This window comes from Homo sapiens, chromosome 6, assembly GCF_000001405.40.
Source record: "Homo sapiens chromosome 6, GRCh38.p14 Primary Assembly".
NCBI lineage: Eukaryota > Metazoa > Chordata > Mammalia > Primates > Hominidae > Homo > Homo sapiens.
In genome coordinates this window covers 157,261,712-157,283,412 of record NC_000006.12, presented here as the reverse complement: position 1 = coordinate 157,283,412, position 21,701 = coordinate 157,261,712, and the positions used below count along the sequence as shown (strand labels likewise).

General features: G+C 51.5%; 7 annotated features.

The window, feature by feature from the left end:
- Positions 8,218 to 8,777: a silencer, noted in NCBI's record as "silent region_17722". NCBI's record gives its function as "represses an Ori minimal core promoter by ATAC-STARR-seq in GM12878 lymphoblastoid cells {active_cell/tissue: GM12878}" and the evidence as "EXISTENCE:reporter gene assay evidence [ECO:0000049][PMID:35858748]".
- Positions 8,218 to 9,283: a biological region, named in NCBI's record as "H3K4me1 hESC enhancer GRCh37_chr6:157695162-157695993".
- Positions 8,452 to 9,283: an enhancer, noted in NCBI's record as "H3K4me1 hESC enhancer chr6:157695162-157695993 (GRCh37/hg19 assembly coordinates)". NCBI's record gives its function as "activates a minimal SCP1, AML or CMV promoter by ChIP-STARR-seq in primed H9 embryonic stem cells {active_cell/tissue: H9 hESC(primed)}" and the evidence as "EXISTENCE:reporter gene assay evidence [ECO:0000049][PMID:30033119]".
- Positions 8,978 to 9,067: a silencer, noted in NCBI's record as "silent region_17721". NCBI's record gives its function as "represses an Ori minimal core promoter by ATAC-STARR-seq in GM12878 lymphoblastoid cells {active_cell/tissue: GM12878}" and the evidence as "EXISTENCE:reporter gene assay evidence [ECO:0000049][PMID:35858748]".
- Positions 9,284 to 10,116: an enhancer, noted in NCBI's record as "H3K4me1 hESC enhancer chr6:157694329-157695161 (GRCh37/hg19 assembly coordinates)". NCBI's record gives its function as "activates a minimal SCP1, AML or CMV promoter by ChIP-STARR-seq in primed H9 embryonic stem cells {active_cell/tissue: H9 hESC(primed)}" and the evidence as "EXISTENCE:reporter gene assay evidence [ECO:0000049][PMID:30033119]".
- Positions 9,498 to 9,657: a silencer, noted in NCBI's record as "silent region_17720". NCBI's record gives its function as "represses an Ori minimal core promoter by ATAC-STARR-seq in GM12878 lymphoblastoid cells {active_cell/tissue: GM12878}" and the evidence as "EXISTENCE:reporter gene assay evidence [ECO:0000049][PMID:35858748]".
- Positions 15,326 to 16,032: an enhancer, noted in NCBI's record as "H3K4me1 hESC enhancer chr6:157611546-157612252 (GRCh37/hg19 assembly coordinates)". NCBI's record gives its function as "activates a minimal SCP1, AML or CMV promoter by ChIP-STARR-seq in naive H9 embryonic stem cells {active_cell/tissue: H9 hESC(naive)}" and the evidence as "EXISTENCE:reporter gene assay evidence [ECO:0000049][PMID:30033119]".

The following is a 21,701-nucleotide window of genomic DNA, read 5'->3' as shown; positions in this document are numbered from 1 at the left end:
CACTGGTCCCAATTCTCACAAATCCAAAGTGACTGCATTCACTGGACTGAGAAATGCATCAGTGGGTGTCACCCTCCATGGCTGCCTCCCTCTCCTGCCACCTCTGGACTCCCTCTCCCGCCACCTCTGGACTCCCTCTCCCGCCACCTCTGGACTCCCTCTCCCGCCACCTCTGGACTCCCTCTCCCGCCACCTCTGGACTCCCTCTCCCGCCACCTCTGGACTCCCTCTCCCGCCACCTCTGGACTCCCTCTCCCGCCACCTCTGGACTCCCTCTCCCGCCACCTCTGGACTCCCTCTCCCGCCACCTCTGGACTCCCTCTCCCGCCACCTCTGGACTCCCTCTCCCGCCACCTCTGGACTCCCTCTCCCGCCACCTCTGGACTCCCTCTCCCGCCACCTCTGGACTCCCTCTCCCGCCACCTCTGGACTCCCTCTCCCGCCACCTCTGGACTCCCTCTCCCGCCACCTCTGGACTCCCTCTCCTGCCACCTCTGGACTCCCTCTCCCGCAGCTGCAGGAGGCCGTACTGTCACCCAGGCAGCCCTACCCTTGTGAGCACCCGAGGAGTGGGCAGAAGCACAGGCACATGACAACACGAGACCCTGGACCCCTTCAGGAGCCATGCGGAAAGACATGGGGAGCACTTAGGAAGGCCCCCCAAGGTGCGGTCCACAGGTTGTTTATGATATAATTGGAGAGGCAGACAAGGTCACGCTGAGTTAACTGACCAAGACCTTGGTGTGGCTGATGACCCCAGAAAGGGAGAGGACAGTGCAGATGAGAGTCAGAGAGAATGACCTGGAAGAGGCCAAAGAGGAAGGGGCTTTGGGAGATGAGGCAGAGAGGAGCAGGAGAAGCTCAGAGGAGCAGAAGAAGCTGGCGCCAAGAGGAAGACTTGTTGGTGGCACAGTGAGCCCGAGACCACGGTGCAGTGGGTGGTGGGATAGGCAAGACGGAGAGAAGGAGATGAGTCAGAAAGGCACGTTAAAGGCTGGGTGTTGTGGCTCATACCTGTAATCCCAGAACTTTGGGAGGCCAAGGCGGGCGAATCACCTGAGGTCAGGAGTTTGAGACCAGCCTGGCCAACATGAAGAAACCTCATCTCTACTAAAAATACAAAAACATTAGCTGGGCGGGGTGGCGTGTGCCTGCCAGTCCCAGCTACTCAGGAGACTGAGGCAAGAGAATCGCTTGAACCTGGGAGGTAGAGGTTGCGGTGAGCTGAGATCACACCACTCCAGCCTGGGCCACAGAACAAGACTCCATCTCAAAAAAAAAAAAAAAAAAAAAAGGTAGCTTAAGGCCCATGGTTAAGGCCCACTCATAAAAGCATAAAAGGCCTTTACTGGCCGACTAAGAGGTTTGCACTTTGCCTATAGCAACAATAATATAAAGTTAATAAAGTTTTCTGAGCTTGTGACATATAAAACTGGTATTTTCTTTCAGTCATTCGTTCATTCATCTAAGCACAATTATCAAGTGCCTGGCCAGCACTAGGTGGGGACACGGCAACAATTAGACGGTCCCTCCTTTAAGAACTCCCGGTAATCTGAGGGGGCAGAGGAAGGCCACTGCGACTGGAGAATGGACAGGAAGAGTAGAGGCCCTGGCAATCCCTAGGAAGTGCCACCTTGGACGGCCAGCAGGAGGCGGCTGGGCCTGAGCCAGGAGGACCAGAGCTGTTGACTGCGGGTCCCCAGCGGCTGGGGACAGGAAGGGTGTGTACTGTGGACTGCACAGCCCATAGAACCCATCAGCTCTAATTTTGCTCTTCTCTTTTTTCTTTTTCTTTTTCATTTTTTTTTTTTTTTTGAGATGGAGTCTTGCTCTGTTGCTCAGGCTGGAGGGTAGTGGTGCAATCTCAGCACACTGCAACCTCCACCTCCCAGGTTCAAGCAATTCTCCTGCCTCAGCCTCCGGAGTAGCTGAGATTACAGGTCCACCACCACACCTGGCTAATTTTTTTTTCTTTTTTTTTTTGCATTTTTAGTAGAGACAAGGTTTCACCATGTTGGTCAGGCTGGTCTCAAACTCCTGACCTCAAATGATCTTCCCGCCTCGGCCTCCCAAAGTTTGGGAATTACAGGTGTGAGCCACTACACCCGGCCACTTTTCTCTTTTTAAAAGAAAAGAAATGAGAGTGAATGGCAGAGCTGTACCTGAGCAGAGCCCTGCACTGTCTGTCCAGGGGCAGATGTTGGTTTGGATGTCGGGGTGGCTGTGGGTGCAGTACCCACACTGGGCCTGTTCCTGGTCGAGTGCAGGAGGGTGAGAGCTGGGCCACACGCGCGGAGAAGCTGGGAGGCAGCTCGGGTTCCAGGGAAGGGGCACCAGGTCTCACAGCACCTCCAGGCCTCCACAGTGACCTCTGGCCGCTGAGCACAGGGAGGTGCCAGCCAAGGGTCTGATCCTTTACTTGGGGGTCCTGCGGGAGGGAGAATTAGATAAGACCCACTTAGAGAGGAACAGTCACTGATCCTAATATTGATAATAACAACAGCACCTATGTAGCATTTACTATATATCAGGCACTGCTCTAAGGACCTTACATATATTAACTCATTTAATCCTCACACTCTCCGTGAGGTGGACACTATTATATCCTCATCGTACAGAGGAGGAAACTGAGGCCTCCATTTGCACTATTTATTCATAGTGTATCTGGGGTCACATGGCTGGAATGAAAATCAGGTGAATTTTTTGTCCAAGATCACGCATCTAATAAATGTCACAGCTCGGATTCAAACTCACATCTGGCCTATAAAGCCCCCACACCCCGTTGGCCCAGGCAGCAGACTACAAGGGAAAGACGACTGTAGCCTGAAATTGAGCATTTGCTGGGCCCGGGGCAAGACTGAATGCAGGCCCAGGTCCCGGCCACCTTCGTAAAAGTTACGCGCAACAGTCACCCACCAAGCTCGTAACCTGGGGAGTAAAATGCGCTCGGTCTCCTTCCCTGACAGACAGCTTCATGGCAGCCTGGACCGCCAGGTTCACATTTGGAATTCTCAGACTCCTCAGAGGCCCACCAGGACACAATGCGGGGAGAGCGGCCGTCCCGGGCTCCGCCCTTTCTCCTCCCTCAGCCGCGGCTCCACCCAGCACCGCAAGGCTGCGCTGGTTTTGCTGTTGTTGTTGTTTTAGTCTCTGCCTTCATTGATTCTTTTTTTTCTCTTTCAAATATTTTTTATTGAAATAACAATAAAATAAAAAAAGAACAGTGATCACTTTAACCAAACTTTTACTTTACAAATATAAAAATATAACCAAAACTTGTTTCTTTTATACATTTTCCATAAACGTAATACCAGAAAAGTTCTCAAAGCCAAACTATAAATGATGCTTGTATACTATGATGTGAACACAATAACCAAAAGTTTAAATTTCTAAATACATGACCTTTCCCTCAACAGAACAGCATAACCGATATATCTTCCCAACTTATCTCTATTTTTACGATATGATCTTTTTCATTCTTTCATTTGGACAACAAACATTTATTAAGGATCTATAGGCATCGGGCATTGTGGTAAATCCCAGAGAATCAAAGATACATCAGATATAGTCCTTGCCCTCCACAGGACCAAACTCTAAGACGAGAGAAGATACCAGAGAAAAAAAAAAGAAAAAGAAAAAGAAAACAGAAAAAAAACTATAATAGAGTAGAAAGTCCTGAGAATTTTAGGGGAGGGTTGGATAAAGGGACAAGAGAGCAGAGAAGAAAGAGAAATTGCTTCTCCCTTCCTTCCTTCCTTCCTTCCGTCCTTCCTTCCTTCCTTTCCTTGCCCTCCCTCCTTCTTTTCTTTTTTCTCTTTTCTTGTTTCCTTCCTTCCTTCCTTCCCCCACTCTCTCTCTCTCTGTGGCTTTCTTTTTTCTTTCTTTTTTCTTTCTTTCTTTCTTTCTTTCTTTCTTTCTTCCTTCCTTTCTTTTCTTTCTTTCTTTCTTTTCTTTCTTATTTCTTTCTCCTTCCTTCATTCCTTCCTCTCTTTCTTTGTTTCTCTCTTTTCTTTCTTTCTCCTTCCTCTCTTCCTTCCTCCCTTCCTCCCTTCCCTCCTTTCTTTCTTTCTTTCTTTCTCTTTCTTTCTTTCTTTCTTTCTTTCTTTCTTTCTTTCTTCCTTTCTTTCTTTTTCTTTTTTTTTCTCACTCTGTTATGCAGGCTGGAGTGCAGTGGTGTGATCACACCTCATGGAAGCCTCCAGTTCCTGGCCTCAAGCGATCCTTCCGCCTTGGCCTTCCAAAGCACTAGGATTACAGACATGAGCCATTGCACCCAGCCCAATCTGGTCCTTAAATGTCAAGCTCTAAACCCACAGGACCTGAACAAATGCAGGTAAGAAGCCCTTTTAGAAGGGAAAAATGGGCCATTGGGGTGGCTCACACCTGCAATCCCAGCACTTTGGGAGGCTGAAGTGGGCAGATCACCTGAGGTTAGGAGTTCAAGACCAGCCTGGCCAACATGGTGAAACCTCATCTTTACAAAAAATACAAAAATCAGCCAGCCTTGGTGGCAGGCACCTGTAATCCCAGCTACTCGGGAGGCTGAGGCAGGAGAATCGCTTGAACCTGGGAGGCGGAGGTTACAATGAACCGAAATTGTGCCACTGCATTCCAGTCTGGGCAACAAGAGCAAGAATCTGTCTCAAAAAAAAAAAAAAGGAAGGAGGGAAAAGCGCTAATCTGTTGCAGCCTATCTAGCCTAGAGGAAGACTGTGTGTTTTCAGGGTGGTGTTGCTTTTTCACAATCTCTCAAATAGCATTATAAATATAAATGGCCGAATTGCACGGTGAATCAGAAATAACAATGATTATAGTAACAAGCGTGTGGACAACCCAGCCTGCAGTCCAAATTCCCCTGCACCCCACTGGCTGCCCCTGGCCCTCCTGAGGCCCAGAGGCATGAACATGTGCAGGGCTAGCCACTGGAGAGGATGGACCCAGGGCAAAGGCCAAGCCTCAGGGGTCTCGGGGCTGACTGAGTAGGAAATGAGAGGCCCTGGCCTTGTGGATAATTCACCTCAGGGTGAGGCAGCTGTAGGAGTAGGCACTCTGCAGCGAGGGCTGGGCTGGGCCCCTTGCCTGGGGCCTGGCGCGGCGGGTGTCCCACTCCAAAGCCTAGGCTTGCCACACGCAGGAGGGCTGGACCCTCTCCATCACCTGACTCAAAGGCCCTTATAGGGGTCACCCAATGAACACGGTACTGGAGACCCGCTGATACCCCTTGAAGACTAATACACGGATTATGATTTTCTTTTCTTTATTCAGATACTGAAGTGCCTGCCAGCCTCCACATTTCCATCTTTGCTTTGGCCATCAGAAAGCTTGGAACTAAATTTAATCTCGCGTCATAATAATCTTACCACCTTTTTGACTCCCTCCTTCTTTGGCATGAGTTTTCAATTTTCTGTTCCCATTTTAGCAATCTTATTGTGCGTGTATCTTTTATTGGAAGCTGCCTCCAATCCTTTTTAGAAGCTGACAGGGTATAAATTGTAAATAAAAATAAATACTGCTGAAATCTTCCCATGGTAGCTTTCTTATTTCTGGAGGTATCTGAAATCCTGACTTGGCTTTTGTGAAAAATTCAACACAAAACATCCCGTGCACCAACTCAGCTTTAAGTTTCTGCTTCTGTAAAAGATCCTGGGTTGCTATAACCCTGAGCTCTGAAATGAAAACTTTTCAATGGCAAATGGTAAATGTTTAGTTTCTAAAGTGTAGTTTGTAAAATGTTTACCTCAAGTGGTGGCTGTTTGTGACACCCCACTTTCATCTTAAGCATTGTTTAATATTTGGGCATTATGCTTAGCTAGCTGGGACTAGCTTGACTGGGAGGCTGGGAAATGTGGAGTCACTTCTGGCTGGAGGAAAACAGTTGGAGTATTTATGCGCTCGAATGGAGATTCCATGTCATTCCTTATTGTCTGCCATGAGTGGGACCAGAGGAGAGAAGGGCTTCCCTGCTGGTTGGAGTGCAGAAGAGGGAAATGGAGGCTCTTCTGTTGTGGGTTTAACTCTAAAGAGAGTTCCGGTTCTGGCTGAACGGAGATCCCTGAGCTTCCCAGGTTAGAACAAAGGAAGTTTCTTATCTCGGAGGGGGGGAAAAGACACCATGAGAGAGAGCCCAGTGCATGCCTTTATTTCAGTCCTTTATTTTTTGAAATCTTACTCTGTGAGATTAGTTTGTCATTTAAGGCTATTGGTATGTAGCAATTGTAATAGAGAACTCTACATTGTTCAAAAGAAGCAGTACACACACACACACACACACACACTCCCCTCTCCGTGCAGCCCCTGCACCCCCTCTTTCTCAACTCTCCCACAGCCAGCCTGGCCCTGCTCCTGGCCTGCGAGACCCCTGGGTCTCTTCCCCACCCCCATCCTTTCTGGACACTTTCCGCCTTATTCTTCCGGCAGCTATCTTGCTTATTTACCAGGGTCGTGTCTCCTTAGAAGGTCACATCCCCTGGTCCTGCCAGAGCGTGGCGCCTGTGGCCAAGGGGCACCCTCCCCAAGCTCACCTCCTCAAGACAGGCCCAGACTCTCCACATCTTCTGAGCCACATGAGCAAAGCACCTGCCATTTATAGAGGCACCGAGTCCTAACTGCAGGTCATATTTTCAGAGAACAGCCCTATTGATGAGTCTAGGAAACTAAACTCAAAAAGTGACGGCAAAAGTCATAGTTCCAGAAAGGTTGGCATGTGGCATTATTCCACTGCAGACAGTGACATCCAACCCACTTAGGTAGACAGATGCACCTTTTCGTGTGCGGCCATCATGGGGCACTGGAATTTTAAACCTTTATAATCTACTTTCCCCATTTTCCCTCAGTGAACATGGCTTGCTCTTCTAACTAAAGAAAGTGAAGGAGGGATATTTGTGGCATGTTTGTTTTTTGAGAATAAAATAATCGTTGCCTACAATACATGGGTTGATCTAAAACCCCAAGCAGTCCCCAGGCCCCCTCCCTCCCTGGGGAGTGGAAGTGCTTGGAATCCTCCTTGCTGGGACTCAGGGCTGGGCTCTTGCCTTCTAGGGCCACTCCGGTGAGGTGAGATCATGACAACTTTCAAGGTTCTCTCTGCCTTGGGAGTGAAGCCCTGTGGACTTTGCACGCCCACCTGGAACAGGCCTGCTGTATGTGGAACTGTGTCCCCACAAAAGGTATGTTAAAGTCCAAACCCCTGGTGTTGAAGATTTCAGTGTTGAAGCCTTCTTTGAAAATCAGGCCTTTCCATTTTCAGCAAGTTAAAATGAAGCTATGTATGTATACACACACACTTTATTTATTTTATTTTTATTTATTTATTTTGAGAGGGGGACGCTGTCTCACTCTATCACCCAGGCTGGAGTACAGTGGCGCGATCTCAGCTCACTGCAATCTCCGCCTCCTAGGTTCAAGCGATTCTCCTGTCTCAGCCTCCTGAGTGACTGGGATTACAGGCACCCGCCACCAGCCTAATTTTTCGTACTTTTAGTAGAGATGGGGTTTCATCATGTTGGCTAGGCTAGTCACAAACTCCTGACCTCAGGTGATCCGCCTGCCTTGGACTCCCAAAGTGCCGGGATTACAGGAGGTTTTTTTTGTTTTGTTTTGTTTTAAACGGAGTCTCACTTGGTCGCTCAGGCAGGAGTGCAGTGGCGCGATCTCGGCTCACTGAAACCTCCGCCTCCCAGGTTCAAGCGATTCTCCTGTCTCAGCCTCCTGAGTAGCTGGGATTACAAGCGCCCGCCACCACCCCTGGCTAATTTTTGCATTTTGGGTAGAGATGGGGTTTCACCATGTTGGCCAGGCTGGTCTCGAACTCCTGACCTCAGGTGATTCGCCCTTCTTGGCCTCCCAAAGTGTTGGGATTGCAGGCGTGAGCCACAGCGCCCGTCCAAAATGAAGCTAAATTTGATGAGAGTGGGCTCTACTCCAAGACCACTGTTGTCCTTGTAAAAGGAGAAAAGACAGACACAGGGACACAGGGCCATGTGGCCACAGAGGCAGAGACTGGAGTGACGGGAGACAAGCCCCGAACACTGAGGACCCTGTACCCCAGAGGCCAAGAGAAAGGCATGGAACAGATTCTCTCCCCCAGCCTTCGGGGACCTTGACTCTGGACTTCCGGCCTCCAGAACCGCGTCTGTTGCTTGAAGCCTCCGGGTCTTCGCGGTGCAGAGAAGCGCCAGGCCTCCAGGGCCTCGCCTCCCGCCGCCCGCGCCCGGCCCCGGGTCCTCCCTCGGAAGCCGCCTGTCTGTCTGCCGCCGAGTCCCACCGGGCTTCGGCCGGCACTGCCCGTTTACCCTCCGTCCCTCCCATCCCTCCCGGCTCCTAGAGGAGCTGGGTCCGCGTCTAGCTCCTCGGCCCTCCCCGCGCGCTCGGCACCGCGCACGGCCCACGCTGGACAGATGTCCCCGGCCCTCTCCCCGGACGCCCCCAAGGCCCCTGCCTTCCAGGCCGAGCCTCCGCTGCCGCCGCTTCCCCGCGCTCTGCAGTCCCCGCGGCGCTCCCGGGGCCGCCGCTCGGCCGTGGTGCTCGCTTCGCCCAGCAGAGGGCGGCCGAGGCGCGGGCCTAGGCGGGGCTGTCGCCGCCTGTACGGGGCGGGCGGAGCGGGGCGCGGGCGACCTGACAGCGAGGCCCGGCGGCGCGTCCCCACAGCGGCCTCCCGCCCCGTCCGGGACCGGGGCTGCGGGGATGACCCCTAGCTGGAGGCCTTGGCTGCCTTTTGCTCTTTTGTTTTCTGTCTGGTCCCCTGGAACCGGGGCCACTGGAGGCTCCCGGAAACGCGCAGGCGACATCTCCCCGACCGTCCTCATCAGAAGCCCACGGAGCCCGTCCCGCCCACGCGTCCTGAAGGCGTGGCTGCGGGTGCCGTGGTCCCCAGGTCCCGCGTCTGGCCGCGCCCACCTGGCATCTCCCTGGACGCCCCCAGGCGCAGAGACTGAGCCTCCTCCCGGCTGCAGCGTCGGTCCCCGGGCGTGGCCGCCGTTCCCTGTCCCCCGCGCGTGCTCCCAGGAGAGTTCAGTCCTCAGCGCCCGCAGCTGCACCCTCTCGGAGCCCCTCATTTACCCACCTGTATCCCACTCCCGACCCCGGAACTCTCAGCACCCAGGGGCCGCCCTCTGCATGGTGGCTGCCAAAACCCAAAAACCAGAAGTGGGCTTTTCCTAGTGCCTTTTTGAGATCTAAGTGGTGTTTCTGGCGGTTTGGGTTTTAAGGTGCCATTTTCTGTCTACTTTCTTTACTTTCTCGAATGACTTTTTCTTGTTATAAGTAACTACATGTTCAAGGTCAAAAAATGAGAAAACATAAGCAAAAAAGGCACCTGAAATCCCAGCTTCCATCAATAACTATAGGAATATTTTGGTGTCTGCTGCCACATTTTCCCCTCTGCGTGTGGGTGTGTGTACGGTGATATGTTATTTTTCCAAAATAGGGATCCCTCCCATCCACCTCGGCAATCTGCTTTTCCACAGAGCAAGGCAGTGAGAACGTCTCTCTGTGAACCACAGTGAAGACGCACCCAGCAGGGTATAGGAGCTGGGCCCGCTGGGAGGGCGAGTGTGGGCGGGGCATAGCCGGCAAACCCAGCCCACCCGAGGCCTGGCCAGGGGAGGGCCCTCCCTGTGAGCCTCCTGGGGGCCCATGGGCCCTGTTACCTACGTCGCCTTGGTTGGTGAGGTCTCATCCCTGGCTGCAGCTGCCGGGCTTCAGGGTGTCCTTTTAAAGAGCACCTCGAAGAAGAAAATCCCATCCTTTCCTCTAGTCCCGGAAGAGTCCATCTGCAGTTGAAACAACTCTGCCCTTTGTAGAGTGGCTCTTTCTTGTGTGGATTTAAATACAAGGAATACAAAACAAATTCATATTGACCCCAAGGAGCCCCATTCCTCCCTCCGCCTCCGGACAACTAGGGTGCCTCCAGATCAGCAGTTCTCAATGAGAGGCTGGGGGGAGGGGGTTGGTGGGTGGAGTTTTGCCTCTCTTCCCCCAGGGGACGTCTCTGGTATTGCCTAGAGACACTAAGAGGGTGCTACTGGCACCTCGTGGGTAGAGGCCAGGATGCTGCTAAGCATTCTGCCATGCACAGCACAGGTCCCCACGAAAAAAGAATTCACTGCTGAAAATGTCGGTAGTGCCCAGATTGAGAAATCCTGTCCAGATGTTTCTCGACACTCTTCCAGGGGTCCAGGAGCCCAGGAGTCCCGAAGCCTAGGTCTGCCTACAGCACCGTCCAAGGGGTAATGGCCCTGGCTGATCACTCCCAGGCCACGTCCATTAGCCCAGGACCTGAAACGACTGGCGACCAAGAAGGGCCAAGAGGTTGCAACTGCAGTCTGTGGAAATGAGAGGCCCTGGGCAACGGGGCGTCAGGGGAGGAGATGAATTCAGTAGCTGAGGCTCTGTTTCGTTTTGTTTCACTGTGCATGGATTCAGGTTGTTTCCTAAGGCTCTATGTGCCTCGTTTATGAGTCTTTCCTTTCAAAACAATTCAAGATGTCCCAGCATTTCAACCCTCTGACTGCAGAACTCCACATTGCTAGAGCTCAAAGGAACCTTTGACATTTTCCACTCCAACTGTCTCGTTTTCAGGGAGCCAGACCAAGGTTTATGCACAGCTTCAGTGCCTCAGTTTCTTCCTCAGTAAAATCACAAATAATGACATCTCTCTTTGGCCAGCCCCCCCCCCCCACCAACTCCATGCCTCGGGCACTCTCACACACATTATCTCTGATACATCTACCCTGGGAAGGAAGTTGCCCCTCCTATTTCCCAGGTGACAGCGCTGGGCACTCAGACTGCGGGGAACTGACCTATGACCACACAGCGAGCAGGTGGAGGAGGGGAACACCAGCCCTGGGTTTCTCTCGCCCTAACAGCGGACCAGGCCACGGGTTCTCAAGCATGGCTGCCCATCAGAGTCATCTGGGGAGTTTTAAAAATCCTGGTGCCTGTCACACCCCCTATCACTGTCATGGATATGTGATGGAGGCCAGGGAAGACTCAGCTTCAAGAAATGGTGAGATCTTTGAATATCTTCTTGGTACCAGCCCATATTTTTTGAATTGAGAACCATTAGGATTAGCTACAAATGAGTTTTCTTTCCATCTGAATATTGAGAACTGTGTTTTCTGGCTGCTCTTTCCTCCCTGGATGTTTGCAAAGTTGAAAAATCAGCTAAAAATATATGCAGGGGCCACACAAGGCAGGAAGAGTGAGCCCAAACATCCCGGCTCTGTGCGGGTGGCCAGGGCCAGCTGCTTCCCCAGGCTAGAGGGCGTAAGGCACCACATCTCCCAGGGATATTTGCATTTTCAGCAGAAACTCTGGAACATGGAAAGGTCTTCAGATGAACAGCATATCAGAAGGCAGCATTTCAGGCACCAAGAGGCCAAGGGAGGTGACTGGGTCTGCGGGGGGCTGCTACCTCACCTGCCTACCCTTGTGCAGTCTCTCCACAGCCCCTCTGCAAGTCTATCTGCTCATCTGTCTCTAAACTGCCTCAAACTTGAGACAAAGCATACAGAACCCTCTAGGCAGGGTAGCTTCTCTTGAGTTGGATGTACCATCTGCATTTTAGTCTCACTTTTGGTAATAAGAGCGCTTTGAGCCTTGCAGAGCAATTGGGCAGCTGGCAAGCTCTGACTGTTGTTGGCATTTTGTGTCATCGCGGAGAGGCTAAGTGAGTGCTAGTGGGTGACAAAGGCCAGGCTTCTGACTCAGGGTCCCCACTTCCCACCGCTCCGCTGACCCCCTTAGCTGCTGGCCTCTTTCTTGGGGCCTTGGTCATGTCTGAAAACAGGTGCCGGCTGCACTAACATTTTGCAATGCTGCTGACCGGGTCACCAGGGACACTGTGTTCACGCCCCTCATGGCACCTCCTGCCTTCAGCAGGGATCCTCCCCACCCACCGCTGGGCCTTGACATCACTGCTTGCTGCTTCTCAGCTCATCCATGGCTCCACCTCCACATTACAGCTGCTTCTGAATGGTTCCATCTCTGTCCTAGCATCGGAAAGGTTTCTTTGACCTTAAAACTTCTATTTTCTATATGTCTCCAAAATTTACATCTCCAGGCCAATCATATTATAACATTACTTTTCTCAGCTGGTTAAATGGTTTTAACGTGTCTTTAGCTCTCATTTTATTAATTTTTTTTTCTCCACATTCTCCAAGCTCTACTTTGACAGAAACTTTTACATAAAAAAGGTTTGATCCATTCTGCAAGTGTTTCTGTGTGTGTGTGCGAATGTGAGTATGTGCCTCACCTACTGTAATGATTCTCAAGTGTGGCCCCAGAGCCATCACCTGGGAACCTATTAGAAACACAAATGAGTAAGCCCAAAGCCAGACCTGCTGAATCAGAAACTCTAGGTGGAGTCCTGGAATCTGTGTTTTAAGAAGCCCTCTGGGTGATTCTCTTGCATGATAGAGTTTGAGACCCACTTATCTACTGTTGTTTTATAGGATCTACTCCTCACCAAGGATAGAGGGAAGTTGTGCCTCTGTTAAGATAGAAACATGTAAATAATAGCATTCTCGACACCATTGCAGGAGGTCAGCAAACTTTTTTTCCTGCAAATTTCTTCATTCACTATTTAACTTACAAAATGTGTATATGTGCATGTGTGTGTGTGTGTGTACACATGATGATGGCTAGCGATGGAGGTGGAAGTGGTGGTGTTAGTGTTGTTGGTAGTAGGAGTAATAATATTATTGGTGATGGTGGTGGTAGTAATGGTGTTGATGGTGATGATGGTAGTGGTGGTGATGGTGGTGGTGGTGATGGTGTTTGTGGTGGTAATAGAGTTGGTGTTGTGATGATGGTGATAGTGGTGATGGTGGTGGTGACAGTGATAGTGCTAGTGTTGATGGTGGTGGTGGTTGTGCTGGCAATGGTGGTGGTAGCAATGGTGCTGCTGCTGGTGTTGGTGGTGATGATGTTGTTGGTGATGGCTATTATGGTAGTGATGGCTTGGGCAGTGATGGTGATCGTGGTCATGATGGTGGTGGTAGGGATGGTGGTGGTGGTAATGGTGTTGGTGATGGTATTGTGGTGGTGTTGGTATTGGTGGTGGTGTTGGTATTGGTGGTGATGGTTTAGTGTTGGTGTTGGTGAGGGTGGTGGTGGTGGTAATGGTGTTGGTGTCATTGGTGGTGGTAATGGTGTTGGTGTTGGTGGTGTTATGGTGATGGTGGTAGTGGTGGTGATGCTGTTGGTAGTATTGATATTGATGGTGTTGGTGGTGGTGATGCTGTTGGTGGTGATGGTGGGAGTGCTGGTTACATATCAGCCCCTCAGATCATATTGCCTGACTCCCCCGTGTCTCACCCAAAAGGCCTGCCTGGCTTGTGCCATGGTGCGTGTGATAATGTGTGTGCATATGGATGTGTGTGAGTCTGTGTCTGGCCACTTCAGCCTTAGTGCCTCTGAAGTTTACAAAACCCCCAAAGTTTTAAAATAAAATTGGGGTTAAACCATTTGGATCCTGTAAATTAGAAAAAATAAATGAACCACCCAGCAGCAGTTACAGGCAATTAATGTGATTCTGGGAGGGCTTCACTGCAAGATAATGGGAAAGCTGATTATAAATGAGCCAAGGGTAATGAGGGAGGTCATGAGTCCCTTAACTCTGAAGGAGAAGCCAGGGCTCCACTCCGGCTGATGCTGGCTGCTTCGAGGTGCACACAGATCTCTTTCCACATGGGCTTCCCATCCTGGCCGCTGGCCCACACCCAGCCGGGAAGGCAGGCCAGGCCAGTGGGGAAGGGCCGAGCTCAGCCTGGTTTACCACGGCAGGGAGGGGCCTGGGAACGCTGGAACCTGGACTCTTCTGTGCTGTCCCTGCAGCTTCAGAAGAAAAGGCTTCTGAAAATAAATCCAGAGAAGGGCCAGAAAAATGAGGACAGGAAGGGAATGCGTGGGAGGGGAGGTTCCTGTGAGAACAGACGGAAAGCAGGACTTCTGACCTGGAAAGGCCCTTGCAGAGACAGCCTCGGGAGCCAGGAACCAGGGAGACTGGAAAGCACAGGCGTCTGGATCCTGACCGGATCTCTTTTCACTCCTGCAATGAGGAATCTCAAAACCAAACGTGCGGGCTGGCCAGGGACCTCAGGCGGCTTCCTACAGCTTGCCTATTTGCATTCTCGTTTTATCCTTCTCTTGATTTTGTTTCTAACCACTCTCCTGGGTCTTGTAAATATATTTTACATCTTTTGTGTTTTGCTTGCACATATCCTATTGCAAATTCTTTTCTAACAACAATAGCCTGTGAGTGAATAGATGGCCATGCAAGCCACGGCCCCTCACACTCTGAGTGTCTGCTGCCAGCTGACTAAGTCCACTAGGCAAGTCGGGGTTCGGGTTGAGCGAGAGCAATCTTCAAGCACAGCCTCATTTTCTTCAGAACCTGCAGGGTTGGCTGTGTTCTCTCTGGAAACTTGGCCCATGGTCAAGGGGTCTTGGCCCTGACTCGTCATGACCCTGGCCCAGGCCTTCTGTTGTGGAGTAGATGGAAAATCCCTCTTTCTCGTCCTATTCTGGTCTCAGAGGAGTTCTCTGTCCTCAACTCTCTGTAGTTTTGAGACAAGAGGAGCTTCATCCTCTTCCTCACACACTTGGGGTGCAAGGGTCATCCCCACTCTGCACCTCACCCCTCAGGGAACAGAAATGGCTCCTTGGGGGAGGAACTCAGGTGGGATTCTTATGGGATGTCATTGTTCTCTGGAGAATGAATCCATCACTCCCAACCTAGGCTTGTCATGCTGCACCTTGTGAGTGATGTGTGGGGCCCACGGGGCCCATTGGTTTGTAGTGTGCATGGGAGTGAAGTGGCAGCTCATGTCCACACCTCGCGAAGCAACAGCCTGACCGAGTGGCTCAGAGCACAGTCCCAGGCCAGGCTGCCACTGCCTCCTCGTGCCAGCCTCTCTGCGCACCACTGTCCTCCCTGTCAAGTAGGGATACACCTACCTCACTGGGCTACTTGGAGTATTTATAGATAAGAGACTTAACATGCAGTTCAGGCTGGGCACGGTGGCTCACACCTATAATCCCAGCACTTTGGGAGGCCAAGGGGGGCGGATCACCTGAGGTCAGGAGTTTGAGACCAGCCTGGCCAACATGGTAAAACCCCATCTCTACTAAAAATGCAAAAATTAGCTGGGCTAGGTGGTTCACGCCTACAATCCCAGCTACTTGGGAGGCTGAGGCAGGAGAATCGCTCGAACCCAGGACGTGGAGGTTGCAGTGAGCTGAGATTGTGCCACTGCACTCCAGCCTGGGCAACAGAGCAAGGCTCCCTCTCAAAAAAAAAAAATGCTCGTTTCAGCACCGGGCGGATGCAAATTATGACAATGATCATGTTTATGGTGATGATTTCCCCTGGGCAACAGTCAGACACCAGCCTAATGGCCTGTTGGAGAAATTGCACCATTAGTAGCTCTGTCGGGGTTCAAAGCAGGAGCCATCAGGAGCCACAGGGCCTGGTACAGTACCCGCACCCAGAACTCCCCAGCCGGCAGAGGCTGCCCAGCTCCACGGTGCTGGCTTTGAACATCCAGGGCTCTGTTGCCCAGGCCTGCTGCCCCCTTCCCCACAGGTACCAGGCGAGGCACCCACAGAGACCTATGCCCAGGGGGCCTCGGATGCAGAAGCCAAGCCCTCGGCCTGGGTGAAGGACACTTTCTGAAGCTTCCTGTTATTTGTTGGTTTCTTTTGTGTCTCATGCTCCCTGCAGCTCACAGACTGGGGCTGCTCCTGTAGGTGCAGAGTTCCCCATTGACCGCAACTTAGGAGAGGCCAGCTCATCCTGGGTGTCACGCCCCTCTTCCTCCAAGTAACCTTCCTCTGTTGGAGGAAATCCCCTGTTACGAGCCTTGACTTCTCGACATGGAAGCCAGGATTCAAAGCCCAGCTCCCCCTGCAGTGAGGACGCAGGCTCTACCGCCAGATGCGGCCCAAGGAGGTGTCAGCTGCCAGGGAGTGATGTGCGGGAACAGGCTCTGTGGGTTCCTTTTCATCGGCGCAGGTGGAAGCAAGTGCCCCTAGTTCTCGTGGTGACAGCAGTTGGGGCTGCAGTGGCCCAAGCTGCCGCTCCCAGCTCCATGCAGAAGCCGCATGGGTGTGGGTGGCAGTGCAGTGGCTGGGGAGCTGATTTTCAGCACTGATCCTGGAAGCTCGGTCTTGACCTGTCTCTGCAGCCCTCGCAGTGGTCCCACGGACCATTGCATACACTGTAATAACTCCCCTTCTACACAAACTGGTCAGGGTGTGTTCTCTTGTTCAGAACCGAGACAGCTGGCGGAGAAGCCACGGCTGCGTGCAGAGCCTCTCACGTGCTCACCAGCCTTTTCCTACATCATCCTGTGCAGTGCTCACGGCAGCTTAGTGCAAATGGCCAGCTTGAGAGATTGAAGCCGCCTCGGGGCACTTACTGGGGCCCCGTGTTAGGCCTCTTGGAGGGAGACTAATTTTTTGTCCTCAAACCCAAAATCAACTCCTGGCCTTCTCTAGAGGAGACCAGAGCACAGGCATGGGCGATGGGGATCACCCCGGATCTCAAAGGTGCTGCACGGAGCTGGGTCTGAGGGCAGAGGCGGCAGGACCTCAGCATCCTGGAATTGGGGAGTGCGAACCTCACTCGGGCCGACCCGTCTATACCCTTGGATCCCCTGCCAGACACAGGTCAGGGCTGTGTGCGGTCTCTCTGCAAAGCACCTGCGGCCACTCAGAAGGGATACTGCTGCCCTAAACTCATGTGTGTGCGCATGTATATGTGTATGTGTGTATGTGTACGTGTGTATGTGTGTGTGTGTGCGTGCATGTGCATGTGTGTATGTGTGTGTGCATGTGTGTATGAATGTGTGTATGTGTAACATTGTGTGTATGTTTTTGTGTGTGTGTGTATGTGTGTGCATGTGTGTGTATGTGTGTGTTTGTGTATGTGCATGGGTGTGTGCATTTGTGCGTGCATGTGTATGTGCATGTGTGTGCGTGTGTATGTGCATGTGTGCATGTGTACATGTTTGTGTATGTGTGTGTTTGTGTGTATGTGTATGTGTGTGCATGTGTGTATTCATGTATGTGTATGTGTGTGTTTGTGTATGTGTTTGTATATGTGTGTGTGTGTATGTGTGTGGTGGCAGCTCTTCTGGGCATTGTCCTTTACCTCAGTCCTAATTTTATTAAAGCATTAGAGCCTCTCACTGAATATTCCGAATACCCTATTAACCACATCTTTTGAGAGGCCAGCGCCAGTACAGCAAAGGGATGGCCGTACTCATTTTCCTCTCCTTCGGTGACCCCTGTCCCAAATCAAAATCACAGAATATTAACTCTTCCTTTGAGCAACACTTTTTGTGCCTTTAAATTACTTCCTCTAAGCCTAAAACAGAATCTAAATTCTGGAATCAGATGGTTGCTTTATGCTCTTCATTCATTCATTCATTCAACAGTTCTCCTGAGTGCACGCTCTGTTTGTATGTGCCAGGTGCTGTCTTAAGCATGGGGGTTCCAGTGTACACACACAGGTGGCACAGCTCACTTGGAGCTTGGCGTGTAGGGGAAACCAGACACCACAAATACAGAAGATAGCTTACAGGGAGGGCAAGGGCTGTGAGGAGCTGGGCCACGCAGCGCGATGGCAGAGCCTGCTGGGTTTCGGGGCAGTGCCAGGCAGGGGAGTCCTTGCTGGGAGGGCAGGTCCACTTCAAGGGCTGGGGAACAGTCCTGAGCCCCAAGAAGAAAGGGGGAGCTTTGGGTGTTCAGAGACTGACAGAAAGAGTGTGGGGACAGGACAGAGTCTGTGGGATCAACTGCAGAAGGAAATGCGGCCTCCTGTTCAACAGCGGGTCAGAATTTCAAAAGGGAAGCAGAGCGATGCCCTGGTCGGGGTCCCCAGGTCACAGCCCCTGCAGATGCCGAGTGCCCCTGAGGCTGGCCCTGTGTGAGAAGAGGGACCTGAGGGGTAGCTGGGGCCAGATCACAAGGCCTGGGGCCCAGGGAAAGATCTGGACTGGGTTCCTCTCGCAGTGGAAAGCCTCAGAAGGGTCTAAGCAGCAGCGAGCTCTGGCATGGCTTCTCTCTCTGCGCAGTCACCGGGAGGCCATTCTGGGCTGGGGAACAGACAGGGCCTATTGCAGGAGAGTGAGCGGGATAAAGAAGAGGAGAAGAGAACAAGGTCGGGTTGGGCTCTGTTTAGAGAGGGGGCGGGCAGATTGGCTGTGAGGGGAGAGAACAGGAAACCCCCAAGTTCAACTTGAGCTTGCAAGTTTAAGATGCCCATTAGATCCCAATAGGGCATGAAACGGGCCACCTTGTCCTACGGAATCAGTGCCTTGTCTAAGCAATGCTTTTTTCCTCTCCTCACAGAAGGCCGATTCCAGGACACGGCCGACCACAGTGCTTGTTAGGAGACTCCTCGCAGTTAGAGGCCATGTTGCCAGATGCTAAATCTCCCCCATAAGAAATCTGAAGACAAAATCGCCGCAGCCACTGTCCAAAACCAATATGTACAGAACAGCCCAGAGCCCCGTTAGAGCAGCAGGTGCCGCAGCCGTAAACACGCGAGCTGAGCATGTTGACTTTGGCAACACTCATGCGTGTCTTGCTGTGGAAATGGAGTTTATTGAAACTGAAACCTGGGAATAGACAGCTCGGCACAGCCCATGCCCCACTACCTTCATCCATAGTAACATCAGGAAGAACAAGGGGACATGTGTGGTCTGGTCAAATCTCCTGGACACTGTCCACATATTCTCTGACTTAGTCCTCCCAACGGCACTGTGAAGTGAGAATGATTATCCTATTTTTCAGATGCTGGAAATTTTTCAGATGCTGGAAATGGGGCTCATGAATGCTGAGTGATTTGTTCAGACAATTAAATGGAGCCCAAATTAAAAACCAGTGTGGCAGATCCTGTTAGCTGCCTACCAACTTGCAGCTCCGCCCCCCCTTTTTTGAGACAGTGTCTCACTCTGTCACCCAGGGTGGAGGGCAGTGCAACAATCATGGCTTACTGCAGCCTCACACTTCCAGACTCAAGCAATACTCCCACCTCAGCCTCCCGAGTAGCTGGGACTACTGCCACCACATCCAGCTAATTCTTTTAATTTTTTTGTAGAGACAGGGTCTCACTATGTAGCCCAAGCTGGTCTCGAACTCCTGGACTCAAGTGATCCTCCTGCCTCAGCCTCCTGAAGTGCTGAGATTACAGGCATGAATCACAGCACTGCCTGCACCTCGTTTTTTATGGCAATCTGGCTGGCCCCAGGAGATAAATTGTGATTGGTCTTAGCTGGTCACAAGAATCCTGTTCCCCTTTGGCAGGGGCTGCTATGGGATGAGCATGTAACCCATTCTGGCCAATGGGATAGAAGAGAAAGCTTTGGGAGGAGGGGCTTCTTGAAAGATTTTCTCCCTGGTAAAAAGTGGGGAACAGTTCAAGGACCAGTGCCTCTTGATCCATGTCTCCTTCCTGTCTGTGGACATGTTATGGAAGTCAGGTGTGTGGCCTGTGGCAGCCTTCTGAGACCCATGAGGTGACATGGAGAAAGCCAACAAGCTGAAGATGCAAAATGGAAGCTTGGACTATGCCCAGGTCCAGAATGGCATCATGGAGTTGTCAAACCAATCTGAGGGTCACCTGCCTCCAGACTTCTTGGTGAGAAAGTGACAAATGTCCTTATGGTTGAAGCCACTGTTAGGTATTTGTAAGTTATTTTCAGCTGAACACCTCCTAACGTAAAGCCTGGGTTGGTCTCACTTCAAAGCCCATGATCTTTGTCCTGTTTCACTCTGATGTTTGCATGGGGGTCCAGCTGTCATCCCACGTCCATTGTCAATGCCCAACAATTATAGCAACGATCAGATTTAGAAACTGAAAGGAAAACTGTCAGTTGAAAGAAGGAGAGGTGGTCAATTCAGCAAGATCAGAAATCTGGCTCTGGCCTTAATTGTTCTTGGCATGAATCCTGGGTCACAGAACTTCAAAGCTGGAATGGACCAAAAATATCTTCTGATCCAACCCCCTGTTTTGTAGAGGAGGAAATTGAGGCTTTGAGAGGCTAAGTGATTTGCCCAGCGGCCCACCGATGGCATCAGCCTTGACAGTGGAACGCAGCTCTCCCAGACAGCTCTCTGCCAAGCCAGCGCTTTCTTGCTCAGCACTCAAACTCACTCAACTTTGTTCCACACTCTGACTGGCCAATCGCCTCAAATCAAAAGGAGGTTCTCAATTTAATCATACTCTTGTGATAGGATAAACTTTGGGGGCATTAACTGAGGTTTCTTTCACATATATTTTCTTAATGTATCAAGTTACCACCCTCTTCCAATTATTTTTTATTTTTTAAGATAGGGTCTTGGCCGGGCACGGTGGCTCACGCCTGTAATCCCAGCACTTTGGGATGCTGAGGTGGGTGGATCACTTGAGGTCAGGAGTTCAAGACCAGCCTGACCAACATGGTGAAACCCCGTCTCTACTAAAAATACAAAAATTAGCTGGGCGTGGTGACCGGTGCCTGTAATCCCAGCTACTCGGGAGGCTGAGGCAGGAGAATCACTTGAACCCAGGAGGTGGAGGTTGCAGTGAGCCAAAATCATGCCATTGCACTCCAGCCTGGGACACAAGAGCAAGACTGTCTTAAAAAAAAAAGACAAGGTCTTGCTGTGTCACCCAGACTGGAGTGCAGTGACACGATCATGGCTCACTGCAGCCTTGACGTCCTAGGCTGAAGCAATCCTCCCACCTCAGCCTCGCTGGGACCACAGGTGTGCACCACCACACCCGGCTAATTTTTAAAAAATAATTTTTGTAGAGATGGGGTCTCCCTATGTTGCCCAGGCTGGCCGTGAACTCCTGGGCTCAAGCAATCTTCCCACCTCAGCCTCCCATAGCGCTGGGATTATGGCATGAGGCACTGCGCCAGGCCGCCAATGTTAATCTGGAAATACAACCAGAAAATATAAAGAACCCAGACGTATAGGGGAGTGGGGGTCAAGTTCTTGGCTTTTCAGATTAAAATCAATTCTTGAATCTCATCACAGAGAATGGTCTTGAAAGCAAGCGCTGGGCATTTAGAAGTTGAGTGGCTAAGCCCTGAAGGGACCCAGTCGGAAATGTGTGCCAGCAACTTGCATACATGAAGTGGGAAGAGAAGAGATGAAAAGTCAGATGACCCCACTTAAAGGCTTCATGAAGACTATCAGACTGGAGGGAGAGGAAGCTTCACTGTTGGAGAATCCTGTAGAAAGGGATTGATGTCCAGGGAGGAGGGGAGGCAGGACAATAAGGATAGCAGACAGGCATGAGGGGGTTCCCGACTATTCCTGGGGGCAGCCAGGAACAGTTTGGAACTGCTAGGGGAGTTGGGGGAGGTGGGGGCGGGCAACAACAGATCGGTAAGACAGGTTTTGGATGTGAGCACAGAGGGCTTGGCTTAGCTCCTGTCTGGAGGTCTGGGAGGCTGTGCAGACAAATTCATTCCATGGGGACTAGGGGATGGAGTCAAGATGTTTTCCTGGGGACCAGGGTAATGATGAGATTCTATCAAGGGAACCGAACATTCTCCAGTGTCTCGCAGTCAGAGGGCAGCCAGCACTCCTGGTGCCCTGCGAAGGCATGGCCGTCCACTGAGGATGAAGCGAGCGGCGCAGAGGATACCACAATGCAGGCAGAGCCACGGGCATCACAGTGACTGTGCAGGCCTGAGGCC